This window comes from Homo sapiens, chromosome 3 (genome assembly GCF_000001405.40).
Source record: "Homo sapiens chromosome 3, GRCh38.p14 Primary Assembly".
Lineage (NCBI taxonomy): Eukaryota > Metazoa > Chordata > Mammalia > Primates > Hominidae > Homo > Homo sapiens.
Genome location: NC_000003.12, coordinates 48826215 through 48853585, shown reverse-complemented (window position 1 = coordinate 48853585; position 27371 = coordinate 48826215). Strand labels below are relative to the sequence as shown.

At 45.1% G+C, this 27371-nt stretch overlaps 1 protein-coding gene and 1 long non-coding RNA gene across 11 annotated transcripts in view, besides 1 other annotated feature; one reads left to right on the top strand and one right to left on the bottom strand.

The window, feature by feature from the left end:
• Positions 1–1603: 1603 nt before the first annotated feature.
• On the bottom strand, positions 1604–5649 carry PRKAR2A-AS1 (PRKAR2A antisense RNA 1). Of its 2 annotated transcripts, NR_109997.1 has the most exons (3): positions 5561–5649; positions 5178–5481; positions 1604–4599 (listed from the first exon to the last, which is right to left on the bottom strand). It is a non-coding gene; the product is annotated as a PRKAR2A antisense RNA 1 (long non-coding RNA). The 2 variants fall into 2 exon arrangements; NR_109996.1 differs by having other exon boundaries at positions 5178–5649.
• Positions 5570–5899: a silencer, noted in NCBI's record as "silent region_14340". NCBI's record gives its function as "represses an Ori minimal core promoter by ATAC-STARR-seq in GM12878 lymphoblastoid cells {active_cell/tissue: GM12878}" and the evidence as "EXISTENCE:reporter gene assay evidence [ECO:0000049][PMID:35858748]".
• The window catches only part of PRKAR2A (protein kinase cAMP-dependent type II regulatory subunit alpha), a 103284-nt gene continuing 81624 nt past the window's right edge, over positions 5712–27371 (top strand). For all 9 annotated transcript variants that reach the window (XR_002959546.2, XM_011533942.4, NM_001321989.2 and 6 more), the window contains exon 1: positions 5712–6251. Coding sequence is in view for 8 of the 9 variants with exons in the window: in XM_011533942.4 (XP_011532244.1) it covers positions 5990–6251 (262 nt within the window). In the remaining variant the exon portion in view is untranslated. The remainder of the gene's footprint in view (positions 6252–27371) is intronic.

Below are 27371 nucleotides of genomic sequence, written 5' to 3'. Positions count from 1 at the left end.
ATCCGCCTGCCTTAGCCTCCCAAAGTGCTGGGATTATAGGCATGAGCCACCGTGCCCAGCCTCCTTACAGCCTTTTGAGGCTGGAACCCCTTACATCTTTTGTAACCTCCTTATAAGTTTATTCTCTTATTTCTTTATCCCCTTGTAACTCAATGTTTAATGGGTAGGGATTTTTTTTTTTTTTTTTTTTTGAGATGGAGTCTCCCTCTTTCACCCAGGCCGGAGTGCAGTGGCACGATGCTGGATCTTGGCTCACTGCAACCTCTGCCTTCCAGGTTCAAGTGATTCTCCTGCCTCAGCCTCCCGAGTAGCTGCGATTACAGGTGCATACCACCACGCCCAGCTAATTTTTGTATTTTTAGTAGAGATGGGGTTTCGCCATTTTGGCCAGGCTGGTCCTGAACTCCTGACCTCAAGTCACCCACCCACCTCGGCCTCCCAAAGTGTTGGGATTACAGGTGTGAGCCACTACACCTGGCCTTAATTTTTGTATTTTTTGGTAGAGATGGGGTTTTACCATGTTGGCCAAGCTGGTCTCAAACTCCTGACCTCAGGTGATCTGCCTGCCTTGGCCTCCCAAAGTGCTGCGATTACAGGCATGAGCCACTGCACCAAGCCTCTGAGTAGGGATTTTGACTTCCACTTTCAGATGTGGATGCCAAGGCTCAGACAGGGTAAACTGATCTGCAAAGGTCATTGGCAAATTGATAATAAAGTGGGGATTGTCTGGGTCTCCTGAAGAAAGACTTGTGATGCTATCAGAGGCTTGATCCAGGCTCCAGGAGACCTGTCTGTACCACCTGGTCCAAGCTTAGGTACTTGGCCTGTGAGTCAGATCAGGAGTGGCACACAGAGTCCTGACAGCACTGGGAAGGCCCCAGGGCCAGGTGTCCCTGAGGGGTCCCTTTTCTGCTTTCTCTGCTATGGTAAGCATGCAGACCTGTGATTTTCTAGCCAGCTTCCCTGTGCTTTCTAGGTTCTGTCCTTGCCCTGAGGTGTCTCAGATGCAGACCCTGGGTCCACTGCAGAGACTGACATTTTCTCAGGACATAGTGTCTCAGGCGTGGGGATGGCTCACAGGTACACAAACGTGGCCTGGGAGCTAACTGCTCCCTGGAGCATGGGCACTTGTTAAAACAGATTAGATTTCCTGGGCAAAAGGCAATGGCCTCGCTGGAGGAGCCACAGTAGAGGCTGAAAGACAGCTTGGGTAAGGGCCGAGAAAACATAGCCCACTTCCTCAATCTCTCTTGCCAACTAAAGGCTCATGAACACTTCTAAGGCAACATAGAAGCTGTTGCTTGTAGGAACTAAGTGAGCTGGGAGTACTAAATCCAGGAGGGCCTGGCATGTAGAGGTGGTCAGGTGACCAGCGGATCCCAGGAAATGGGTGGGGGACTGGAATGGCTTAGAAAAGTGGTCCCTTGATCAAGTAAGAGGGAGGTTTTCCTGCTGGACCTGAGTCCTGCAAGTATGCAGAGGGCATAAGGTATTTAAGCTGGAGGATCTGAGCCAAGAGCAGGCCTTCAGAGGAGTTCGGGGAAGTTTAGGCCCCTCTCTTCATCTTGGAGAGACAGACAGAAACGTTTGAATAACAAACCTATCAAGAGCACACAAAATTCATTGTTTCATTGGAAACAGCAATGGTACCCTACCCATTTTCGTTTTCACCAAGACCCGTTGCTTTTGGGCTAAACAACATGTGTCCCACCTGTGCTACTCTGCATCCATAGTTGCAAACATCTCTGCAAATTGGCCCCATTGTGTCCATATCTGTGCCTCTGGTTGGTGATATGGCAGTTTGTGCAAGACGTTGACTGCCTGCTGAGTTGTGAGTAGGATTAGATTTGAGTGTAGCACCCTCAGGGTTCTGGGGCCTCCTCCTGTGTACTTCTCTTCCTTCTAAGAGTCTCTGCTGTTGGCCTTTTCCACCATCAGTTGCTCTTGGCAGCTGTATCTCAGTTACCGGCTGCCTCTGGGTTTAGTTGCCATGGTAACCTCCAGTGGTGCAGCTGGACAGGCTTGAATGCAGGCAGGATAAATGCAGGATAAGGGTAGAAGATGCGGGGTTCAGGCTCCTGGTGTTCTGTCCTGTTACAGGGCCCTCTTCTTTAGCCAGTTCAACTAGATATTCATGAAGACCCTGGGGGCTCTACTTGTTACTGAAGGGTTGACCAGAAGTGGGAGAGATGCACCCCTGCTCTGGGGACCAAGTGCTGGGGGAGAGTGCCAGGTTAAACCTGGAGGCTGGCTGCCCATCCTTGCTCTAAGACTAGTCTATGGAGACCCATGAGGAGCAGCTGTAGGACTCCTGCTTTCTGTGGCTATATGGCAGACACACCTGTGTATGGTAGCTGCACCTGACAGCAATAACTTAAGCATACTCTGAGAATGACCCTGTATGGCAGATGCACCTGAATGTGTTAGGAGTTCCAAGTGAGGACAAGCCAGAGATTCATTACTTACCCATGAGGAATATCTGAGCCCCCATTCTGTCCTGTGGATGTACAGGGGATTTAGCCCCTTTGTTTTGGGTTAAATCAAAGTTGTTAGGGGGAGGGTGTTAAGTGAAAATGCTATATATACTGCATACTTTCTGCAGGTGGGGCAGTTCTCCTATCTAGCCCACCTCCACTGGACTGCTCTGTATGCAAATTCCCCTCAATCAAACCTAAGTCTTGTTTGCTGGCTCTGGATCTCTTTTGGCCTCTCAAACCTGGTGCCATCCCTACTGAAGTTAATGGGGGTCTGGTGGCCAGGTGCGATGGCTCACACCTATAATTCCAGCACTTTGGAAGGCTGAGGCGGGTGGATCGCCTGAGGTCAGGAGTTCGTGACCAGTCTGGCCCTGTCTGTACTAAAAATACAAAAATTAGCCAGGCGTGGTGGTGTGCGCCTGTAGTCCCAGCTACTCGGGAGGCTGAGGCAGGAGAATGGCTTGAACCCAGGAGGTGGAGGTTGCAGTGAGCAGAGATTGCGCCACTGCACTCCAGCCTGAGCGACAGAGCAAGACTCCATCTCAAAAAAGAAAACAAAACAAAATATGGGTCTTTCTTGGCCGGGCGTGGTGACTCATGCTGGTAATCCCAGCATTTTGGGAAGCTGAGGCAGGCGGATCACCTGAGGTCAGGAGTTCAAGACCAGCCTGGCCAATATGGTGAAACCCCATCTGCACTAAAAATACAAAAAATAAGCCGGGCGTGGTGGTGCGCACCTATAATCCCAGCTACTTGGGAGGCTGAGACACGAGAATCGCTTGAACCTGGGAGGTGGAGGTTGCAGTGAGCCGAGATCGCGTCACTGCACTCCAGCCTGGGCAACAGAGTAAGACTGTGTCTCAAAAAAACAAACAGGCCAGGCGTGGTGGCTCACGCCTGTAATCCCAGCACTTTGGGAGGCCAAGGCAGGCGGATCATGAGGTCAGGAAATCCAGACCATCCTGGCTAACATGGTGAAACCCCGTCTCTACTAAAAAATACAAAAAATTAGCTGGGCATGGTGGCGCACGCCTGTAGTCCCAGCTACTCTGGAGGCTGAGGCAGGAGAATGGCATGAACCCGGGAGGTGGAGCTTGCAATGGGCCGAGATCATGCCACTGCACTCCAGCCTGGGCAACAGAGCAAGACTCCATCTCAAAAACAAACCCAAACAAACAAAATGGCCAGGTGCAGTGCCTCACGCCTGTAATCCCAGAACTTTGGGAGGCTAAGGCGGGCAGATCCCTAGGTCAGGAGTTCGAGACCATCCTGGCCAACATGGCAAAACCCCGTCTCTACTGAAAATACAAAAATTAACTGGGCATGGTGGCAGGTGCCTATAATCCCAGCTACACAGGAGGCTGATGCAGGAGAATTGCTTGAACCTGGGAGGTGGAGGTTGCAGTGAGCTGAGATCGTGCCATTGCACTCCACCTTGGGCGACAAAAGGAAGACTCCATCTAAAAGAAAAAAAAAAAGCCAGGTGCGGTGGCTCACGCCTGTAATCCCAGCACTTTGGGAGGCTGAGGCGGGTGGATCACGAGGTCAAGAGATTGAGACCATCCTGGCCAACATGGAGAAACCCCATCTCTACTAAAAATAGAAAAAATTTGCTGGGTGTGGTGGTGCACGCCTGTAGTACCAGCTACTTGGGAGGCTGAGACAGGAGAATCGCTTGAACCTGGGAGGCAGAGCTTGCAGTGAGCAGAGGTCATGCCATTGCACTCCAGCCTGGGCGACAGAGTGAGACTCCTCTCAAAAAAAAATAGGGGCCTGGCAGAACGGTCGCCCTCATTCCTTCCAGATGCCTTTTGAATGCTCTGCTGGATGGGTGGTTGGCTGAGCCGTGGGGCATCTGAGAACAAGTCAGTAGACCTTCTCCAAGAGTATGCAATAAGGACTGAGCAGGAAAAAAGTTGGAGACTGCCTGTCCCCTCACAAAGTTGATGGTCTAACATTCTTCTCAGGGTCAAGAAACTTGTCCAGGGAGACACTGCTGTTTATAATCACAGGCCTGCTTAGCCTAGAACCTGGGCTGGCCTCTTCATCAGTGGGGATGAGGGCTCCTTGCTCCCAGCTGCTCAGCTCCCAGCAGCATTGAGCTCCTGGGTGTGTGCCAAGCCTGTATGGGAGGTGATAGGGAGGATTTTAATTAATACTGAGTAATTACCAGGCGGTGTTTAAGCATCCCAAATGCCCTCAGGTTCCCAAACCTACAGCTACTCTCTTCCTGGCTAGGCCTGTAAGGAGAGGGGGACTCTGCTCTATGCCCAGTGGGCCTTTGGTTAGCACGTAGGCTGTAGACTGGACATCCCAGGAAGGTCTCCACCTTTTTCAATACCCTTCCAGTTTGGTAGGAGGAGGAGGGCAATTTGGGAAATAGTCTGGCCTCTACAGTTCACCTATACCATCTTCCCAGGGGCAAAGGATAACAATGCCTGTGGTCTGCTCAACTTCATCAAGCAGTGTTGACCTAGGGCCCAGTGTAGAATGTGGGGAGAGGAATGGGCAGACCTAGATCTGGGGACCCTGGTGAAAGTGCTCCAGGAGGAACAGGCACAGAGGTCTTTGCTGCTTTTGGCCTTATTTCCCTTTCTCACTGTACACATTTGGCTGAGTGAACTCTTTCAAATTTATTTTTCTGTCTGTGGCTCTCAAATTATGATCTCATTCAAACGCCTACTTCCTACAAGGCCTTACCCGTTTGACATCTCAGAGACCTGACAGACTCCTGAGTTATTCCACCATTCCACCTGGCAGCCAAGGTGGTCTTGACTCCACCAGGCCTTTGCTCTTGTTGTATGTTCAGATGGCTTTCCTCCAGATCTTCCCCTGGGCGGGTCCTGCTCAGGCCTCGGGGCTAGCTTGAATGTCACGCCGGAAAGTGAGCCCTCTCTTGCCCTTCATCACAGCAGAATCACACTGATGTGCTCGTATGCTTCTGCTTCTCGCTGTGTCTCTGGTGCTTAGTAAGTGCTGGCCAAAAAGAGGCTCTTGGCATCAGCTGAAAGAATAATTTAAAGGTCTTCAGGACCAGGCGAGAGGCACTAATCGGTCCCCTTCATGGGTAGACCGTTCATTACCTAATTCCCTGGATTCCCTCCGTGAGCTGGCATCAGGAACACTCCACTGTCTCGACCCCCCGACAGCCCGAGGGGGCGGGTCATCTAGTGGCGCAAGCGCACTGAGGGCCGGTGCTAAGCGGGGACGCGCACGCCCGCGGTGGCGTGCGTCACAACCAGGACGCCTGCCCCGCCCGTCCAGCTCGCCTGCCCGTCGGTCCCCGCGGCGGCGGCGGCTGCCCAGTGACAGCGGCGGCGGTGCCAGGTCGGCCGTGGTAGCGTAGGGTTGCGCGGCCCGGAAACGCAGAGCCGGCCAAAGAGCGGCGCGACGTGAGCCGGGGCCGTGCGCGAAGAGACCTCGCGGGCGCGGAGCGAAAGGCCGGCGTGAGTGAGCGCGGAGACAGTGGCCGCCGGCGGCCCAACCCGTCTATCCCTTCGGCCGCCGCCGGCATGAGCCACATCCAGATCCCGCCGGGGCTCACGGAGCTGCTGCAGGGCTACACGGTGGAGGTGCTGCGACAGCAGCCGCCTGACCTCGTCGAATTCGCAGTGGAGTACTTCACCCGCCTGCGCGAGGCCCGCGCCCCAGCCTCAGTCCTGCCCGCCGCCACCCCACGCCAGAGCCTGGGCCACCCCCCGCCAGAACCCGGCCCGGACCGTGTCGCCGACGCCAAAGGGGACAGCGAGTCGGAGGAGGACGAGGACTTGGAAGGTAGGCTGTGGGCGGGGCCCTGGGGAGTGGTGCAGGAGGTCTCCAGAGGTCTAGAGGGGTGGCAGGGAGCCAGGTGTCGCGCCGCAGCCAAGCCGACCGCAGGCTGGGATTGGGAGCTCTGTAGCCGCGTTTCTAGCGTTTCCCTGAGACACCGGCGTGAGCCCGCGTGCGCCACTTCCAAATTGAGCTCCGCGATCCTGCGAGCCCTAGAGCGCACCGAGTGATTTGTCAGATCCAGCCTTGAAGGAAACGTGCGCGCTGTCGGCCCTGCTAGAGGATCCCTCGCCTTTGCTTAAGACCCTTCACCAGTTTTGGCTTCGAAGACAACAGCGTTCTCATCCAGTGACTTGTGTTTAATTGATAGGACAGTAAGTTTGTTTGGAAATAATAATTTTTTTTGAAAAGTTACTGTGAAAACTTTTAAGCATAGACAAAAGAGGAAAGGTGAGATGAATCCCTATATGCCATCACCTACATTTAACAGTTGCGTTTGTCACAAAGTTTCATCCATACCTTTTTTCTTTCTTTGCCGAAGTGTATTAAAGCAAATCTCTCAGGTCATTTCACCTCTGCTTACTTGAGTTTGTATTTCTTCAAACATGGTCCCTGGGAATATTCCTATTTTTAAAAACTTGGCCAAAACGATTGAATCAAATTTGGTGAGAGTAAATAATTATCTTGCCGGCCGGGGCAGTGGGCCCCTATAGTCTATACCAGCTACTCTGGAGGCTGAGGAGGAAATATCGCTTGAATCCAAGAGTTCGAGACCAGCCTGGGCAAAATAGACACCCTACCTCATTTTTGAAAACGAAAAACCTGGCCGGGCGTGGTGGGTCACGCCTGTAGTCCCAGCACTTTGGGAGGCCGAGGCGGGTGGATCACCTGAGGTCAGGAGTTCGAGACCAGCCTGGCCAACATGGCGAAACCCCGTCTCTACTAAAAATACAAAAATTAGCCGGGCGTGGTGGCGGGCGTCTGTAGTCCCAGCTACTTGGGAGGCTGAGGCAGGGAGAATCGCTTGAACCTGGGAGGCGGAGGTTGCAGTGAGCCAAGATCATGCCACTGCACTCCAGCCTGGGCGACAGAGCGAACTCCGTCTCAAAAAAAAAAAAAAAGAAAAAGGAAAAACCCAGTAACTATATTCTTGTTTAGTGGGTGGGTTGTAGCTTTAAAGGAAAGGATCCCAGCAGAGACTGAGATCAGGAGAGCAGCTTCATTGGCTCTACTTGCTGTGTCAGGATTTATCATTTAGTAATAGTAAACCTTCTCCAAGAGTTTGCAATAAACTCCAAGAGTACGCAATAAGGACCGAGCAGGAAACAAGTTGGAGACTGTCCCTCCCCTCACAGATTTGGTGATCCAAGATCATCACACCTTTTTTTTTTTTTAAAGTCAGGATCTCGCTCTGTCACCCAGGCTGGGGTGTAGTGGCACAATCAGGGCTCACTGCAACCCCAACCTCACAAGCTCAAGGTATCCTCCCACCTGGGCCTCCCAAGTAGCTGGGACTAAGGGCATGTGCCACCATGCCTTACTAATTTTAAGTGTTTTATAGAGACGGGGTCTCCCTGTGTTGCCCAGGCTGGTCTTGAACTCCTGGCCTCAAGTAATGCTCCTGCCTTGGCCTCCCAAAGTGCTAGGATTACAGGCATGAGCTACTGCTCCTGTCCAAAATAACACTTTCTACATCTGATCTACGCAAGAGTGTTAAGAAGCTATTACAGTTTCCTTGGTTGCTTCAACATATGCTTTGTCAATTTAACAGTAGAATTGGCCTACTTTTGAACAACTAAAATTTAACAAAACAATGAAACCATTTGAGAGGCCAAGTTAGGATCTTAGTGTTATTAGATCACACACACACAAAACTAGTTCTGAGTTGTATCTGGTCTGGCCCAGTATTCAAGTCACGGCAGGGAAGGAGTTAATTAACGGTCATTGCTGTGGGAGGTCACAAGCTTCAGTGCACTGGGCAATCTCCCTAAGTGTATTCATGCTAAAGGAGTAACAAGGGCTCTTCTGGGTTTCCCTTGATTTATTGCACATTACATCATGGGTTTTTGGGAAATCAGAAATTATTTTCTAAACTCTGCCACAGGTTTGCTTTGTGGTCTTGGACAAATTCTCAAACCTGTTTGATCTCAGATTTTCTTATCTTTAAGTTGAGGACAGTGACAACAATCTTCCAGGGACAAATTTGTTTTTAAAAGCTTTATTTCAGGTTTGTTTCACTGTCATCTCTGTAAATCACAAAGCAGTAACCTGCTTTGAGACAATTTTTATTTACACAACACTTTAGGATTTTAGAAATTAGCCTCAGATGAGTAAAAGTTTACAAGTTTTTTTTCTTTTTTATTATACTTTAAGTTTTAGGGTACATGTGCACAATGTGCAGGTTAGTTACATATGTATACATGTGCCATGCTGGTGTGCTGCACCCATTAACTCGTCATTTAGCATTAGGTATATCTCCTAATGCTATCCCTCCCCCCACCCCACAACAGTCCCCAGAGTGTGATGTTCCCCTTCCTGTGTCCATGTGTTCTCATTGTTCAATTCCCATCTGTGAGTGAGAACATGCGGTGTTTGGTTTTTTGTCCTTGCGATAGTTTACTGAGAATGATGGTTTCCAATTTCATCCATGTCCCTACAAAGGACATGAACTCATCATTTTTTATGGCTGCATAGTATTCCATGGTGTATATGTGCCACATTTTCTTAATCCAGTCTATCATTGTTGGACATTTGGGTTGGTTCCAAGTCTTTGCTATTGTGAATAGTGCTGCAATAAACATACGTGTGCATGTGCCTTTATAGCAGCATGATTTATAGTCCTTTGGGTATATACCCAGTAATGGGATGGCTGGGTCAAATGGTATTTCTAGTTCTAGATCCCTGAGGAATCGCCACACTGACTTCCACAATGGTTGAACTAGTTTACAGTCCCACCAACAGTGTAAAAGTGTTCCTATTTCTCCACATCCTCTCCAGCACCTGTTGTTTCCAGACTTTTTAATGATTGCCATTCTAACTGGTGTGAGATGGTATCTCATTGTGGTTTTGATTTGCATTTCTCTGATGGCCAGTGATGATGAGCATTTTTTCATTTGTCTTTTGGCTGCATAAATGTCTTCTTTTGAGAAGTGTCTGTTCATATCCTTTGCCCGCTTTTTGATGGGGTTGTTAGTTTTTTTCTTGTAAATTTGTTTGAGTTCATTGTAGATTCTGGATATTCGCCCTTTGTCAGATGAGTAGGTTGCGAAAATTTTCTCCCATTTTGTAGGTTGCCTGTTCACTCTGATGGTAGTTTCTTTTGCTGTGCAGAAGCTCTTTAGTTTAATTAGATCCCATTTGTCAATTTTGGCTTTTGTTGCCATTGCTTTTGGTGTTTTAGACATGAAGTCCTTGCCCATGCCTATGTCCTGAATGGTAATGCCTAGGTTTTCTTCTAGGGTTTTTATGGTTTTAGGTCTAACGTTTAAGTCTTTAATCCATCTTGAATTAATTTTTGTATAAGGTGTAAGGAAGGGATCCAGTTTCAGCTTTCTCCATATGGCTAGCCAGTTTTCCCAGCACCATTTATTAAATAGGGAATCCTTCCCCCATTGCTTGTTTTTCTCAGGTTTGTCAAAGATCAGATAGTTGTAGATATGCGGAGTTATTTCTGAGGGCTCTGTTCTGTTCCATTGATCTATATCTCTGTTTTGGTACCAGTACCATGCTGTTTTGGTTACTGTAGCCTTGTATTATAGTTTGAAGTCAGGTAGCATGATGCCTCCAGCTTTGTTCTTTTGGCTTAGGATTGACTTGGCGATGCGGGCTCTTTTTTGGTTCCATATGAACTTTAAAGTAGTTTTTTCCAATTTTGTGAAGAAAGTCATTGGTAGCTTGATGGGGATGGCATTGAATCTATAAATTACCTTGGAAGGAAATAGAGACACAAAAAACCCTTCAAAAAATTAATGAATCCAGGAGCTGGTTTTTTGAAAGGATCAACAAAATTGATAGACCACTAGCAAGACTAATAAAGAAAAAAAGAGAAGAATCAAATAGACGCAATAAAAAATGATAAAGGGGATATCACCACCGATCCCACAGAAATACAAACTACCATCAGAGAATACTACAAACACCTCTACGCAAATAAACTAGAAAATCTAGAAGAAATGGATAAATTCCTCGACACACTCTCCCAAGACTAAACTGGGAAGAAGTTGAATCTCTGAATAGACCAATAACAGGATCTGAAATTGTGGCAATAATCAACAGCTTACCAACCAAAAAGAGTCCAGGACCAGATGGATTCACAGCCAAATTCTACCAGAGGTACAAGGAGGAACTGGTACCATTCCTTCTGAAACTATTCCAATCAATGGAAAAAGAGGGAATCCTCCCTAACTCATTTTATGAGGCCAGCATCATCCTGATACCAAAGCCAGGCAGAGACACAACCAAAAAAGAGAGTTTTAGACCAATATCCTTGGTGAACATTGATGCAGAAATCCTCAATAAAATACTGGCAAACTGAATCCAGCAGCACATCAAAAAGCTTATCCACCATGATCAAGTGGGCTTCATCCCTGGGATGCAAGGCTGGTTCAATATACGCAAATCAATAAATGTAATCCAGCATATAAACAGAACCAAAGACAAAAACCACATGATTATCTCAATAGATGCAGAAAAGGCCTTTGACAAAATTCAACAACCCTTCATTCTAAAAACGCTCAATAAATTAGGTATTGATGGGATGTATCTCAAAATAATAAGAGCTATCTGTGACAAACCCACAGCCAATATCATACTGAATGGGCAAAAACTGGAAGCATTCCCTTTGAAACCTGGCACAAGACAGGGATGCCCTTTCTCACCACTCCTATTCAACATAGTGTTGGAAGTTGTGGCCAGGGCAATTAGGCAGGAGAAGGAAATAAAGGCTATTCAGTTAGGAAAAGAGGAAGTCAAATTGTCCCTGTTTGCAGATGACATGATTGTATATCTAGAAAACCCCATTGTCTCAGCCCCAAATCTCCTTAAGCTGATAAGCAACTTCAGCAAAGTCTCAGGATACAAAATCAATGCACAAAAATCACAAGCATTCTTATATACCAATAACAGAAAAACAGAGAGCCAAGTCATGAGTGAACTCCCATTCACAATTGCTTCAAAGAGAATAAAATACCTAGGAATCCAACTTACAAGGGACGTGAAGGACCTCTTCAAGGAGAACTACAAACCACTGCTCAATGAAATAAAAGAGGATACAAACAAATGGAAGAACATTCCATGCTCATGGATAGGAAGAATCAATATAGTGAAAATGGCCATACTGTCCAAGGTAATTTATAATTCAGTGACAAGTTTTTGTATTATATCGTCATTCTTTGTCATCTTTGATACCTTTTTCAAAATTGAGTTGACTTAAAATCTTTGTACCCTATTTTATTGGTATTTAAGTATTTTTGGTGTCTCAGGTGGCTGCGCTACATAATTATAGAAATCACTACAAGGTGGATTTCTATTTACAAATAATAAATGAAAAATACATTGCATACAATGAGATACTTCATACCTGTTAGGATGGCTGGTATTAAAAACAGAAAATAGCCAAGATGTGGAGATGTTGGAACCCTTGTGCATTACTCATGGGAATGTAAAATGGTTCAGCTGCTGTGGAAAACAATTTGGTGGTTCCTCAAAAAGTAGTTAAACATAGAATTATCATAGGTAGAGCAATTTCACTCCTAGGTATATAACCAAAACACCTTTTTTTTTTTTTTTTTTTTTTTTTGAGACAGAGTCTTGTTCTGTCACCCAGGCTGGAGTGTAGTGGCGGGATCTTGGTTCATTGCAACCTCTGCCTTCTGGTTCAAGCAATTCTCCCACCTCAGCCTTCCGAGTAGCTGGGATTACAGGCATGCGCCACCACACTTGGGTAATTTTTTGTATTTTTAGTAGAGATGGTGTTTCACCATATTGACCAGGCTGGTCTCAAACTCCTGACCTTGTGATCTGCCTGCCTCAGCCTCCCAAAGTGCTGGGATTACAGGTGTGAGCCACCGTTCCCGGCCTACCCAAAATAATTTTAAGCAGGGAGTTAAACAGATAGTTATACTCCAGTGCTCATTGCAGCATTATTTACAGTAGTCAAAAGGTGAAAACATGGCACGTGCCTGTAATCCCAGCACTGGGGGGCCGAGGCGGGCGGATCACCTGAGGTCAGGAGTTTGAGACCAGCCTGACTAATATGGTAAAACCCCATCTCTACTAAATTAAAAAAAAAAAATTAGCTGGGTGTGGTGGTGTGCGCCTGTAATCCCAGCTACTCGGGAGGCTGAGGCAGGAGAATCTTTTGAACCCAGGAGGTGGAGGTTTCAGTGAGCGGAGATCACGCCATTGCACTCCAGCCTGGGCAACAAGAGCGAAACTGTCTCAAAAAAAAAAAAAAAAAAAAAGGTGGGCCAGGCCCTGTGGCTCATGCCTGTAATCCCAGCACTTTGGGAGGCCGAGGTGGGCGGATCACGAGGTCAGGAGATTGAGACCATCCTGGCTAACACAGTGAAATTCCGTCTCTACTAAAAATACAAAATATAAGCCGGGCGTGGTGGCGGGTGCCTGTAGTCCCAGCTACTCGGGAGGCTGAGGCAGGAGAATGGCGTGAACCCAGGAGGCAGAGCTTGCAGTGAGCCGAGATTGTGCCACTGCACTCCAGCCTGGGCGAGAGAGTGAGACTCCGTCTCAAAAAAAAAAAAAAAAAAAAAAAAAAAGGTGAAAACAAACCAGGTATCCAGGTATACATCCATAAATGAATGGATAAACAAAATATGGTATATATATACATAAGACCGAGTGTTGCTCTGTCTCCCAGGCTGGAGTGCAGTGGCACGATCCTGCTCACTGCAACCTCCACCTCCTGGGTTCAAGCAGTTCACTTGCCTCAGCCTCCCGAGTAGCTGGGATTACAGGCGTGTGCCACCATGCCTGGCTAGTTTTTGTATTTTTAGTAGAGACGGGGTTTCACCATGTTAGCCAGGCTGGTCTCAAACTCCCAACCTCAGGTGATCCACCCGTCCCGCCTCGACTTCCCAAAGTGATGGGATTACAGGCATGAGCCACCATACCTGACCATCCTTAAGAAGGAATGAAATTCTTATTCATGTTACAGCATTGAAAATATTATCCTAAATGAAATGAGCCAGATACAAAAGGACAAATAATGTATGATTCCACTTACAGAAGGTAACCAGAGTAGCTAAATTCATAGGGACAGAAAGTAGAAGAGAGCTAACCGAGGGCTTGGGGGAAGGTGTAATAGGGTGTTATTGTTTAATAGGTACAGAGTTTCAGTTTGGGATAATGAAAAAGTTCTGAAGTTGGATAATGGTGATGGTTGCACAATGTATGTACTTAATGACACTGAATTGTACACTTAAAATGGTGAAGTGGCACATTTTATGTACATCTTACCACAATTTAAAAAGGAAGAAAAAATGAATTGTATACCCAATGACATTAGAATAAGTCTACACTACTTAAATTAGAAATAGGATATGTTTCAACTCCAGAGCCAATAAAAAAAAGAACAAGAAGTATCATATGTAATAACTGTATATAGCAAGGAAGCTTTGCTTAGTGAGGTCCTTGTGACTAACCACCAATTCAGTTTATAAAATTGTATCCTATTGGAAAGAGTCAAAAAACTTACTAGCTGTTATTTTAATAACAGCTTTAATATCAAACAGGACATAACTTCAAAGTATAAAGTATTATAATGCGTATTTAATGTTGAGAGATGCCTGAAGAGTATAAACTTATTAATAAATTACTGTAGCTGCATACAAACAATAAATCGACATTCAGAATTGTTTCACTTCTGTAATTACCATAAAGCATTTATACTTGCCGGTCTCTCAGCATTTTTTTTTTTTTTTTTTAGGTAACAGCTTTATAGAGATATGCTTCACATACAAGTCAACTATTTAGAATGTATAATTGGTTTTTCATATCTGTGTGCAGCCGTCACCATAATAATTTTTTTTTTTTTTTTAGACGGAATTTTGCTCTTGTTGTCCAGGCTGGAATGCAATGATGTGATCTTGGCTCACTGCAACCTCTGCCTCCCGGGTTGAAGCAATTCTCCTGCCCCAGCCTCCCGAGTAGCCAGGATTACAGGCGCGTGTCACCACGCCCGGCTAATGTTTGTGTTTTTAGTAGAGATGGGGTTTCATCATGTTGGCCAGGCTGGTCTTGAACTCCTGACCTCAGGTGATCTGTCTGCCTCGGCCTCCCAAAGTGTTGGGATTACAGGCATGAGCCACTGCACCTGACCAACCATAACAATTTTTTTTTTTGAGACGGAGTCTTGCTCTGTCGCCCAGGCTGGAGTGCAGTGGCGCGATCTCGGCTGACTGCAAGCTCCACCTCCCAGGTTCGTGCCATTCTTCTGCCTCAGCCTCCCGAGTAGCTGGGACTACAGGCGCCCACCACCATGCCTAGCTAATTTTTTGTATTTTTTTTTTTAGTAGAGACAGGGTTTCACCGTGTTAGCCGGGATGGTCTCGATCTCCTGACCTCGTGATCCGCCTGCCTCGGCCTCCCAAAGTGCTGAGATTACAGGCATGAGCCATCGCGCCTGGCGCCATAACAATTTTTAGAACATTTTTCCTCACTCCAAAAAAAGTCCCATATACTGTTTTGTTTTTCTTTTCTTTTTTCTTTTTTTTTTTTAAAGATGGAGTCTCTCTCTGTTGCTCAGGCTGGAGTGCAGTGGTGAGATCTCAGCTCACTACAATCTCTCCCTCCTGGGTTCAAGCAATTCTTGTGCCTCAGTCTCCTAAGTAGCTGGGATTACCGGCATGTGCCACCATGCCCAGCTAATTTTTGTATTTTTAGTAGAGATGGGGTTTCACCATGATGGCCAGGCTGGTCTCGAACTCCCAACCTCAGGTGATCTGTCCACCACGGCCTCCCAAAGTGCTGGGATTACAGGTGTGAGCCACTGCGCCCGGTCACCATACACTTTAGTCATCACCTCACCAACACCCTCATTCCCCTCATCCCTAGGCATCCTCTAATCTACTTTTGTCTCTACCATTTGCCTATCCTGCATATTTCATATAAATGGAATCATATAATATGTGTTGTTGTTGTTTTTTTTTGAGCGGAGTCTTGCTCTGTCGCCCAGGCTGGAGTGCAGTGGCGTGATCTCAGCTCACTGCAAGCTCCGCCTCCTGGGTTCACGCCATTCTCCTGCCTCAGCCTCCCGAGTAGCTGGGACTACAGGCGCCCGCCACCACACCCGGCTAATTTTTTGTATTTTTAGTGGAGATGGGGTTTCCCTGTGTTAGCCAGGATGGTCTCGATCTCCTGACCTTGTGATCCGCCTGCCTCAGCCTCCCAAAGTGCTGGGATTCCAGGCGTTAGCCACCGTGCCCAGCCAATATGTGGTCTTTTGCCGCTGGCACTTAGCATAATGTACTCAAGGTTCATCCATGTTGTAAGCATGTATCAGTACTTTTTTTTTTTTTTTCCTTTTTCCACTTGTTCTAAATAAACTTCATTTCTTTTTATTGCTAAATACTATTCTGTTGTCTGGAAATACCATTCATTTCTGGATATACCATTTATCCATTCATATGTTGATGGACATATAGATTGTTCCCACTCTTTGACTATTATGAATAATGCTGCTACGAATATTTGTGTGTACAAGTTCTGTGTGGAGCTGTTTTCATTTCTCATAGGAGTAGAATTGCTGGGCCATATAGTAGCTCTGTTTAACCTTTTGAGGAATTGCCAGTCTGTTTTCCAAAGTGGCTGAACCATTTTACATTCCAACCAGCAGTGTTTTGAGGATTCTAATTCCTCTACATCCTTGTCTGAACGTATCTGTCTTCTAAAATTATTATAGCCAAACTAGTGGGTGTGAAGTAGTACTTCATTGTGGTTTTGATTTGCATTTCTCTAATGACTAATGATGTTGAGTGGACATCTTTCCATGTATTTGTCAGTTGCATTTCTTCTTATTTTTTAAGATAGGGTGTCACTCTGTTGCCCTGGTTGGAGTGTATTAGCAGAATCATAGGTCATTACAGCCTTGAAATCCTGGGCTCATGCCACCATAGCTGGGCTCCTGGGCTCATGCGCCACCATAAGTGGCTAATTTTTTTTTTCATACCTGGCTAATTTTTATTTTTATTATTATTATTTTTGAGACAGGGTCTCTGTCACCCTGGCTGGAGTATAGTGGTGCAATCATAGCTCACTGCAGCCTAACCCTTGCAGGCTCAAGCGATCCTTTCACCTTAGCCTCCCAAGTAGCTAGGACTACAGGCATACACCATGCCTGGCTAATTTTTGTATTTTTTGTGGAGATGGGGTTTCACCATGTTGCCCAGGCTGGTCTCGAACTCCTGAGCTCAGGTGATTTGCTCGCCTCATCTCCCAAAGTGCTGGGATTACAGATGTGAGCCAATGTGCCTGGCCTCTGGCTAACTAAACAAAATTTTTTTTTTTTTTTTAGTAGAGATTGGGTCTCACTATGTTGCCAGCGTTGGTCATAAACTCCTGGCCTCAAGGGATCCTCCTGCCTTGGCCTCCCAAAGTGCTGGGATTATAGGCATGAGCCACTGTGTCCAGCCTTTTCACTTTTTTGGTGTCCTTTGAAGCACAAATGTTTTTAATTCTGATGAAATCGGATGTGTCTTTTTTCTTTTCTTGTTTGTGCTATAGGTGTCATATTTAAGAAACCGTTGCCAAATCCAAGGTCATGAAAATTTACCCCTGTATTTTCTTCTAGAAGTTTATAGTTTTATCTTTTGCATTTAAGTCTTTGGTACATTTTGAGTTTTTTTTTTTTAATATATATATATTAAAAAAGCTTTCTTCTTCTTTTTTTTTTTTTTTTTTTTTTTTTAGACGGAGTCTCGCACTGTCGCCCAGGCTGGAGTGCACAATGGCACAATCTTGGCTCACTGCAACCTCCGCCTCCTGGGTTCAGGCGATTCTCCTGCCTCAGTTTCCCGAGTAGCTGGGATTACAGGTACCCGTCACCACGCCTGGCTAATTTTTTGTATTTTTGGTAGAGACGGGGTTTCACTATGTTGGTCAGGCTGGTCTTGAACTCCTGACCTCGTGATGCACCTGATTTGGCCTCCCAGAGTGCTGGGATTACAGGCATGAGCCACCGTGCCTGGCCGAGTACTTTATTCTTTTACATGTAAATATCCAGTTGTTCAGCACCATTTGTTGAAGAGACTATTCTTTTCTCACTTAATTGTCTTGGTACTCTTGTTGAAAATTGATTGTTATGCATGGACTCAGTAACATGGGGAAAAAAAAGAAAATGGATTGACTGTAAATGTGAGTCAGTTTCTAGACTCAGTTCTGTTCCATTGATTTATATGTCTGACCACATGCTAATATCACATTGTCTTGATTACTATAGATAACTCTAGTAGGTTTGGAATCAGGAAGTATGAGTTCTCCAAGTTCATTCTTTTTTTAGAATTGTTTTGGCTATTTTGGGTCCCTAGAATTTTTTTTTTTTGAGACTGAGTCTTGCTCTGTCACTCAGGCTGCAGTGCAGTGACACGATTGGCTCACTGCAGCCTCCGCCTCCTGGGTTCAGTAATTCTCCTGCCTCAGCCTGTAGGCATATAAGCTACCACACCTGGCTTTTTTTTTTTTTTTTTTTGAGACGGAGTCTTGCTCTGTCCCCCAGGCTGGAGTGCAGTGGTGCAGTCTCCGCTCACTGCAAGTTCTGCCTCCTGGGTCACACCATTCTCTTGCCCCAGCCTCCCGAGTAGCTGGGACTACAGGCGTCTGCCACCACGCCCGCCTAATTTTTTGTATTTTTAGTATAGATGGGGTTTCACCGTGTTAGCCAGGATGGCCTCGATCTGCTGACCTCATGATCTGCCCGCCTTGGCCTCCCAAAGTGCTGGGATTAGAAGCGTGAGCCACAGCAACCGGCCACACCCTGCCATTTTTTTTCAGTAGAGATAGGGTTTCGCCATGTTGGCCAGGTTGGTCTCGAACTCCTGGTTTCAAAAGTTATCTGCCAGGCCAAGCATAGTGGCTCACGCCTGTAATCCCAGCACTTCGGGCGGCCGAGGCAGGCAGATCACTTGAGATCAGGAGTTCGAGACCAGTCTGGCCAACATGGGGAAACCCCGTCTCTACTAAAAATACAAAAATTTGCAGGCGTGGTGGTGTACATCTGTAGTCCCAGCAACTCTGGAGGCTGAGGTGGGAAGACCACTTGAACCCGGGAGGCGGAAATTGCAGTGACCTGAGATCGTGCCACTGCACTCCAGCCTGGGTGACAGAATGAGACTTTGTCTCAAAAAAAAAAAAAAAAAAAAGTGATCCTCCTGCCTCAGTCTCTCAAAGTGCTGGGAATTTGTGAGTTACTGTGGCCTGCCCCCATTTGTATGTTTTTTTGGTAGAAAAGTCTATTCAAGTCTTTTGTCTATTTTTTATTAGTTTATTTGTCTTTTTGTTGTTGAAACTTTTTGTCTGGAAACTCGTTCCTTATATGATAAGTGATTTGCAAATATTTCCTCCCATTTTGTGAATTGTCTTTTCACCTTTTTTTTTTTTTTTTTCTTGAGACAGGTTCTCACTCTGTTGCCCAGGCTAGAGTGCAGCGATGATCATGGCTTACTGCAGCCTTGACCTCCCAGGCTCAAGTAACCCTCTTGCCTCAGCCTCCCAAGTAATTGGGACTACAGGCATGCACCACCACGCCTGGCTAATTTTTGTAAAGGTGGGATTTTGTCATGTTTCCCAGGCTGGTCTTGAACTCCTGGGCTCAAGTGATCCATCTGCCTCAGCCTTCCAAAGTGTTGGGATTACAGTCATGAACCACTGCGCCCAGCCTTCTTTTCACATTCTTAAAGCATAAAAGTTTTTAAAATTTTTATGAAGTACAATTTTAGCTCTTTTTTGTTTGTTATTGTTTTTTTTCCGTGTTGCTGTGCTTCAGGTGTCACATACCTGAAGTACAGTCTGATTTATGCCTCTACCTCACAGGAGAGCTACTCTCCTCCTTTGCTTGGTTCACACTGAAGAGGTATGAAGAGGTATGAGAATATGGGATTTCTGCTCCGTATGGACCCTGACCTCCACTTATTTAGCTAAAAATGTATGTGGCCTATTTTTCCTCTCCTTCTGAGCTTTTACTGCTGGACGGCAGTAAACTTTTGATTGTGTTGCCCTTTTGTAAAGTGGCTATGAGAGTATGGCTGGGTGGAAGAAACCATTTTCTTTTTCTTTTTTTTCTTTTTTTTTTTTTTTTAAGACGGAGTCTTGCTTTGTTGCCCAGCCTGGAGTGGAGTGACGCGATCTCAGCTCACTACAACCTGTCTCCCGGGTTCAAGCGATTCTGCTGTCTCAGCCTCCCAAGTAGCTGGGATTATAGGTGCACACCACCATGCCCGGCTAGTTTTTGTATTTTTTAGTAGAGAAGGGGTTTCACCATGTTGGCCAGGGTGGTCTTGGTCTCCTGACCTCAGGTGATCCACCTTCCTTGGCCTCCCAAAGTGCTGGGAATACAGGCGTGAGCCACTGCGCCTGGCCGGAAGAAACAATTTTCTTTCTTTCTTTCTTTTTTTTTTTTTTTGAGACCAAGTCTCACTCTTGTCGCCCAGGCTGAAGTGCAATGGCGCGATCTTGGCTCACCACAACCTCCGCCTCCTGGGTTCAAGCAATTCTCTTGCCTCAGCCTCCCGAGTAGCTAGGATTACACAGGTGCCTGACACCACATCCGGCTAATTTTTGTGTTTTTAGTAGAGATGGGGTTTCACCATGTTGGCCAGGCTGGTCTTGAACTCCTGACCTCAGGTGATCCACCCGCCTCGGCCACCCAAAGTGCTGGGATTACAGGGGTGAGCCTCTGCGCCTGGCAAGAAACAATTTTCTAAACACAAGAGGAACCGTGGGCTGTTTATATGGTGACGCTTCTTAAGGAAATATGATTATTTTAAGAAATTAGCCTGAGTGCAGTGGCTCACGCCTATAATTTTGGTACTTTGGGAGGCCAAGGTGGGAGGATTGCTTGAGCCCAAGAGTTCAAGACCAGCCTGGGCAATATGGCGAGACCCCCCATCTTTTCAAAAAATTAAAACAATTAGCTGGGTTATGGTGATGTGCACCTGTATTCCCAGCTACTTGGGGGGCTGAGGAAGGAGGATTCTTTGAGCCCAGGAGTTTGAGGCTATGGTGAGCTGTGATTGCGCCAGTGTTAATACAAAAAGTGAGCTTTGCTAATTCATTTTCAATAACCTACAAGCAGCTTTTGAAATGTTGTCATTGGAAGGATCAAATGCACTTGGGGCTCTTGGACAAGCTACAGACTCATAATATGTGGGCAAGGTCAGATTGGATGTATTTGCACAATCTGGAGACTGTATGAGGAACTTGTTTTCATTGTCTTTGGCACACAGCAGCCTTAGTTTTTAGCTCTGTCAAAGAATGGAATTATTTCAAGACTGTTTGCTCAGCAAAAATCAATCAAGGGTTCCTACTCAAGTAAAAAGCAACTTGTAGGAAAATAATAGGGGATATATTTTGCTCATTAAGGATCTTTTTATAGTGGCTCTTGGTGCACTGCCTGTGAGTTAGCCCTTATCCTCAAGGAGCAGCTTAAAAAATTAAAAAAAAAATCGTTTTGTAATAATTTTAGATGATGTACTTTCAGGAATCATTACAGGTGTTGGGACAGCTGTTTTGTGTCTCTTAAAGCATGTGTCTTGCTAGGACTGTTCTTGTATATTGTATATTCACTAAGTTTTTCTTGTGTAATTTTTCCTCTTTGGAGTAAAATTTAGTATATGTTTCTTTGGAATTAAAAGAAAAAATGTGCGTGTTCAGAGGCTGGTAACTAAAACTTTTAGCTTATTTATTTTGCATTTGAGGTGCCATTTAAATGAATTTTAGATCTGAAAATAAATGGCTTGAGTTTTTCTTGGTCCAAGCCCAGATAGCTGCCTGGAAATTTGTCAGCAGTTTTGTTTTTTTTTGTTTTTTTTTTTTTTGAGATGAAGTTTTTCACTCTTGCTGCCCAGGCTGGAGTGCAATGGCATGATCTCGGCTCGCTGCAACCTCCACCTCCCGGGTTCAAGCGATTCTCGTGCCTCAGCCTCCTGAGTAGCTGGGATTACAGGCGCCCGCCACCACGCCCTGCTAGTTTTTGTATTTTTAATAGAGATGGAGTTTCACCATGTTGGCTAGGCTGGTCTCGAACTCCTGACCTTAGGTGATCTACCTGCCTCGGCCTCCCAAAGTGCTGGAATTACAGGCGTGAGCCGCCCCACCCGGCCTAATTTGTCAGCAGTTTTAAGATGTGATGACCACAAGATACGTGTGCAAAGACAGTTACTAACGATGTAGAAATTCGGATGAAGATTTTTTGGAGGCCAGTTGTGGTGGCTCACACCCGTAATCCCAGCACTTTGGAAGACTGGGACAGGTGGGATCACATGAGATCAGGAGTTTGAGACCAGCCTGGCCAGTATGGTGAAACCCCGTCTCTACTAAACATACAAAAATTAGCCAGGTGTGGTGGTGCACACCTGTAATCCCAGGTACTTGGGAGGCTGAGACATGAGAATTTCTTGAACCCGGGAGGTGAAGGTTGCAGTGAGCCAAGATTGAGCTACTGCACTCCAGCCTGGACAACACAGTGAGACTCTGTCTCAAAAAAAAGAAAAAATATTTTTTCGAGGCAATCCGCTTGAGGCCAGAGGCCTAGGACCAGCCTGGGCGACATAGCAAGACCCCATCTCTACAAAAAATATAATAGCCAGGTGTGGTGATGCACGCCTATAGTTGTAGCTACTAGAGAGGCTGAGGTGGGAAGATAACTTGAGCCCAGCAGGTCAATGCTACAGTGAGCCGTGATCATGCCATTGCACTCTAGCCTGGATAAGAGCAAGACTCTGTCTCTAAAAAAAAAAAAAAAAAAAAGATATTTTGGATAAACCAGTGGCTAGAGAGTTATTGTTCAGTTTGCAATGTTATACAGTCTTGCACTGCATAATGATGTTTTGATTAATGAGGGATTACATTATAAAATGGTAATCCCCTGAGTATAATAGAGCTAAAAAATTCCTATCGCTTAGTGACATTATGATGTTGTGTTACAACACATTACATGTTTGTGGTGATGCTGGTGTAAACAAACCTACCCTGCTGTCAGTTGTATAAAAGTATAGTACATATAATTATGTATAGTACATCCCGGGTCCCCACCCCCTGGGCCATGGACCAGTATTGGTCTGTGGCCTGCTAGGAACTGGGCCGCACAGCAGGAGGTGAGCAGTGGGCAAGCAAGTGAAGCTTCATCTGTGTTTATAGCTACTTCCCTTGCTTGTATTACCGCCTGAGCTCCATCTCCTGTCAGATCAGTGGTGCGTTAGATTCTCATAGGAACGTGAACCGTTGTGAACAGTGTGCATGCCAGGGATTTGGTGGTGCTCTCCTTATGAGAACCAAATGCCTCATCTGTCACTGTGTTTCATCACTCCCAGATGGGACTGTCTAGTTGAAGGACTGTCCAGTTGAGCTCAGGGCTCCCACTGATTCTACATTATGGTGAGTTGTATAATTATTTCATTATATATTACAATGTAATAATAATAGAAATAAAGTGCACAATAAATGTGATGCACTTGAATCATCCTGAAACCATCCCCCAACCCTTCTCCAATTTTCATGGAAAAATTGTCTTCCATGAAACCAGTTCCTGGTGCCAAAAAGGTTGGGGACTGTTGTAGTACATGATACTTGATAATAATAATTATGTTATTGGTTTATGTATTTAGTTATACTGTACTTTTAATCATTATTTAAGAGTGTATACCTTCTACTTACTAAAAAAAGTTAATTGTAAAACAGCCTCAGGCAGGTCCTTCAAATGGTATTCCAGAAGAATTCATTGTAATCAAAGGAGATGACAGCTCACAGTTCCATGTGTGTTTTTGCCCCTAAAGACCTTCCAGTGGTACAAGATGTAGAGGTGGAAGACAGTGATATTGATGATCCAGACCCTGCTTAGGTCTAGGCGGTCCTGACCCTGTATAGGACTAGTCTAATGTATGCATTTGTGTCTTAGTTTTTTTTTTTTTTTGAGACGGAGCTTCGCTCTTGTCGCCCAGGCTGGAGTGCAATAGCACGATCTTGGCTCACTGCAACCTCCGCTTCCCAGGTTCGAGTGATTCCCTTGCCCCAGCCTCTCGAGCAGTTGGGATTACAGGTGTGTGCCACCATGCCCGGCTAATTTTTTTTTTGTATTTTTGGTAGAGATGGGGTTTCTCCATGTTAGCCAGGCTGGTTTCAAACTCCTGACCTCAGGTGAGCCACCTGCCTCAACCTCCCAAAATGCTGGGATTATAGGCGTGAGCCACTGTGCCCGGCTTGTGTCTTAGTTTTTAACAAAAAAGCTTAAAAAAAAAAAAAAAATATATATATATATATATATATATACACACACGCATATATATGTATGTATATACATACATATATATGTATATATACGCATATATTTTATATACATGCGTATATATACGTATGTATATAAAATATATGCGTATATATAAACGTATATATAAAATATATACGTATAAGAATATATACACACGTATACACACACACATTTATGTGTGTGTATACACACGTATACACACACACATTTATGTGTGTGTATACACACGTATACACACACACATTTATGTGTGTGTATATATACACACATATATATTTATGTGTGTATATATACACATATATATTTTTTTCTTATTTATTTATTTATTTTTGAGATGGAGTCTTGCTCTGTTGCCCAGGTTGGAATGCAGTGGCATGATCTTGGCTCACTGCAACCTCTGCCTCCCAGGTTCAAGCTGTTCTCCTGCCTCAGCCTCCTAAGTAGCTGGGACTACAGGTTCGTGCCACCATGCGCAGCTAATTTTTGTATTTTTAGTATAGACAGGGTTTCCCCATGTTGGCCAGGCTGGCCTCGAACTCCTGACCTCAGGTGATCTGCCCACCTGGGCCTCCCAAAGCGCTGGGATTACAGGCGTGAGCCTCTGCGCCCAGCCTTCATTTTCATTTATTTCTGTTTTAATAGAGAGGAGATTTTGCTCTGTTACCCAAGCTGGTCTCAAACTCTTGGGCTCAAGTGATCTACCTGCCTCACTTGAGCTGGGTGCGGTGGCTCACGCCTATAATCCCAGCGCTTTGGAAGGCCAAGGTGGGTGGATCACTTGTGGTCAGAAGTTCGAGACCAGCTTGGCCAACATGGTGAAACCCCGTCTCTACCAAAAAATATAAAAAATTAGCCGGGTGTGGTGATATGTGCTTGTAGTCCTAGCTACTCGGGAGGCTGAGGCAGGAGAATTGCTTGAACCTGGGAAGCAGAGGTTGCAGTGAGCTGAGATCGCGCTACTGCACTCCAGCCTGGGTGACAGAGCAAGGCTCTGTCTCAAACAAACAAAAAACAAGAAAAAAACAAAGTGCTGGGATTATGGGCATGAACCACTGCACCTGGTAAAAAAATAAAAAAAAGGCTTAAAGGATAAGAATATAAATCAATTTTTCTTTCTTTCTTTTTTTTTTTTTTTTTTTTTGGAGACAGGGGCTCGCTCTGTTGCCCGGGTGCGATCACAGCTCACTGCAACCTCAGCTTTTTGGGTTTAAGCAAGATCCTCCCACCTCAGCCTGGAGTAGCTGGGACCAGAGGCGCTGGCCACCACACTTAGCTAGTTTTTTTCTATTTTTTTGTAGAGGCGGAGTCTCACCATGTTGCCTTGGTTGGTCTTGAACTTTTCGGGCTCAAGCAATTCTCCTGCCTCAGCCTCCCAAAGTACTTGGATTACAAGTGTGGGCCACCATTCCCATCCAGCAAAATATTTTTGTGTACCTGTACAGTGCGTTTATGTATTAAGGTAAATGTTATTACAAAAGAGTCAAAAAGTCAAAAGAAGAGCTGAGTGTCTGTAGTCCCAGCTACCCTGAGGCTGAAGCAAGAGAATTGCTTGAGCCCAGGAGTTTGAGGCTGTTGTGGGCCATGATCACGCCTGTTTGTAGCTGCTACACTCTAGCCTGTGCAACATAGGAACACCTAATTTCTTTAAAAAAGAGAAAAAAAGTTAGAAAAAAGTTTAAAGTTGGGCCATGTGCGTTGGCTCACGCCTGTAATCCCAGCACTTTAGGAGGCAGAGGTGGGTGGATCGCCTGAGCTCAGGAGTTCGAGACCAGCCTGACCAACGTGGTGAAACCCCATCTCTAGTAAAGATACAAAAATTAACCAGGTGTGGTGGCGGGCGTCTGTAATCCCAGCTACTTGGGAGGCTTGAGGCAGGAGAATCACTTGAACCCGAGAGGTGGAGATTGAGGTGAGCTGAGATCGTACCATGATTGGACTCCAGCCTAGGTGACAGGGCAAGACTCCATCCCAAAAACAAAAAAAAATTAAGGTTTATAAAGTAAAAGTTACAGTAAGCTAAGGTTATAATTGAAGAAAAAACGTATTTTTTATAGATTGTGTAGCCTAAGGATACAGTGTTTATAAAGTCTACCTTAGTGTACAGTAGTGTCCTAGACCTTCACATTCACTTACCACTCACTCACTGACTACACCCGAAATAACTCCAGTCCTGCAAGTGCCATACACAAGTGTAAAATTACTTTTATACCATATTTTTACCATACGTTTTCTATGTTTAGATATACAAATAGCCTAGGAGTAATAGGCTTTACCATATATTCTAGGTGTGTTGTAGGCTGTACCATCTAGGTTTGTGTAAGTACACTCTGTAATGTTTGCAGAATGATGAAATTGCCTAACAAATTTCTCAGAATGAAGTGATACATGTGCTTTTGTTTTTTCGAGGCATCCAATATTTTAAAAGTAAAATTATAATTCAAAGAGTTTACTTCATGCTATCAGCAGACATACTTATGTTCTTTCTTATTCTGTTCTTTTTTTTTTTTTTCATCTTAAACTCAGTGGTAAGAATTGTCATGTTCTTGAGGGTTCTTTTGGGGAAGATTATTGGAGCTTTGTTTTTGGTGACTCCATGATTTTTAACAGGGCAGGTGATTTGTCTTGGCATTTCTAGACCAAGCATCCAATGCTCAACTAGTTGGTTGGTTTCTCAGCCCAAAAAAAAGAAGCCCTATGTTGTTGGCGGTACTCCAGGGCTTTTTTTGTAGCCATCATCAGAGAATTCTGGATATGGTTAACTTTAATGCACACCAAATTTTAAAAATGGTTAGTAGATAAGTGGTATCTGAAATCCTAATAATTTTCAGCAAGACTGCTCTTACTTCAGAGTGGAGTTTAGTGCCCCTAAAATGAGTGGGCATCAGTGGCCTTGGATATCTTTTTCTATGTTTATCTTTATTTTTGTAAGTTGAGAGGTTTTTTTAAGTTTACTTTGTTTTTTTTTTTTTAAATTTACAACCCTATTCACCTGGAGTAGAGAGTTTTAAGTTTGTTTTTTGGTGTATAATAAAGAATGTGACTAGCCTTTTTCCTGGGGTTCCTGGCATAATGTGTCTAAAACCTTTGGAATTTTCCAAGTGATAGAAGTATCTTTCTTTGTTATTCATGAGCCTTTTGGATCATAACTGAGTTTATGTTAATGAGATGATTCAGGATGGGGGCTGGTCACCAGAAAGACCAACCATGTGATAGGAGGGCTGATGCTTGAGGAAGTCTAATCTCTGGGGAGAGAAAGGGGGCTGGAGGTTGAGTTTAGTTATGTGGCCAATGATTCAATCGTGTCTATGTTAGGAAACGCCAGTAAAAACTCTCAACACAAAATTGGTGGATCATCCTGGTAGGTAAATCCATTGATGGGCTGGGAGGGTGATTCCATGGGGAAAGGGGACAGAAGTTTGTGTTCAGGACCCTTACAGACCTTGCCGTATGTCTCTTCATTTCACTGGCCCAAATTTGTATCCTTTATAATAAAACTATAATTGTAAATACAGTGCTTTTCTGAGTTCTGTGAGTTCTAGTGAATATTGAACCAGAGGGGTCATGGGAACCCCTGAATTTTTTTGAGACAAGGGTCTTCTTCTGTCACCCAGGCTGGAATGCAGTGGTGCGATCAT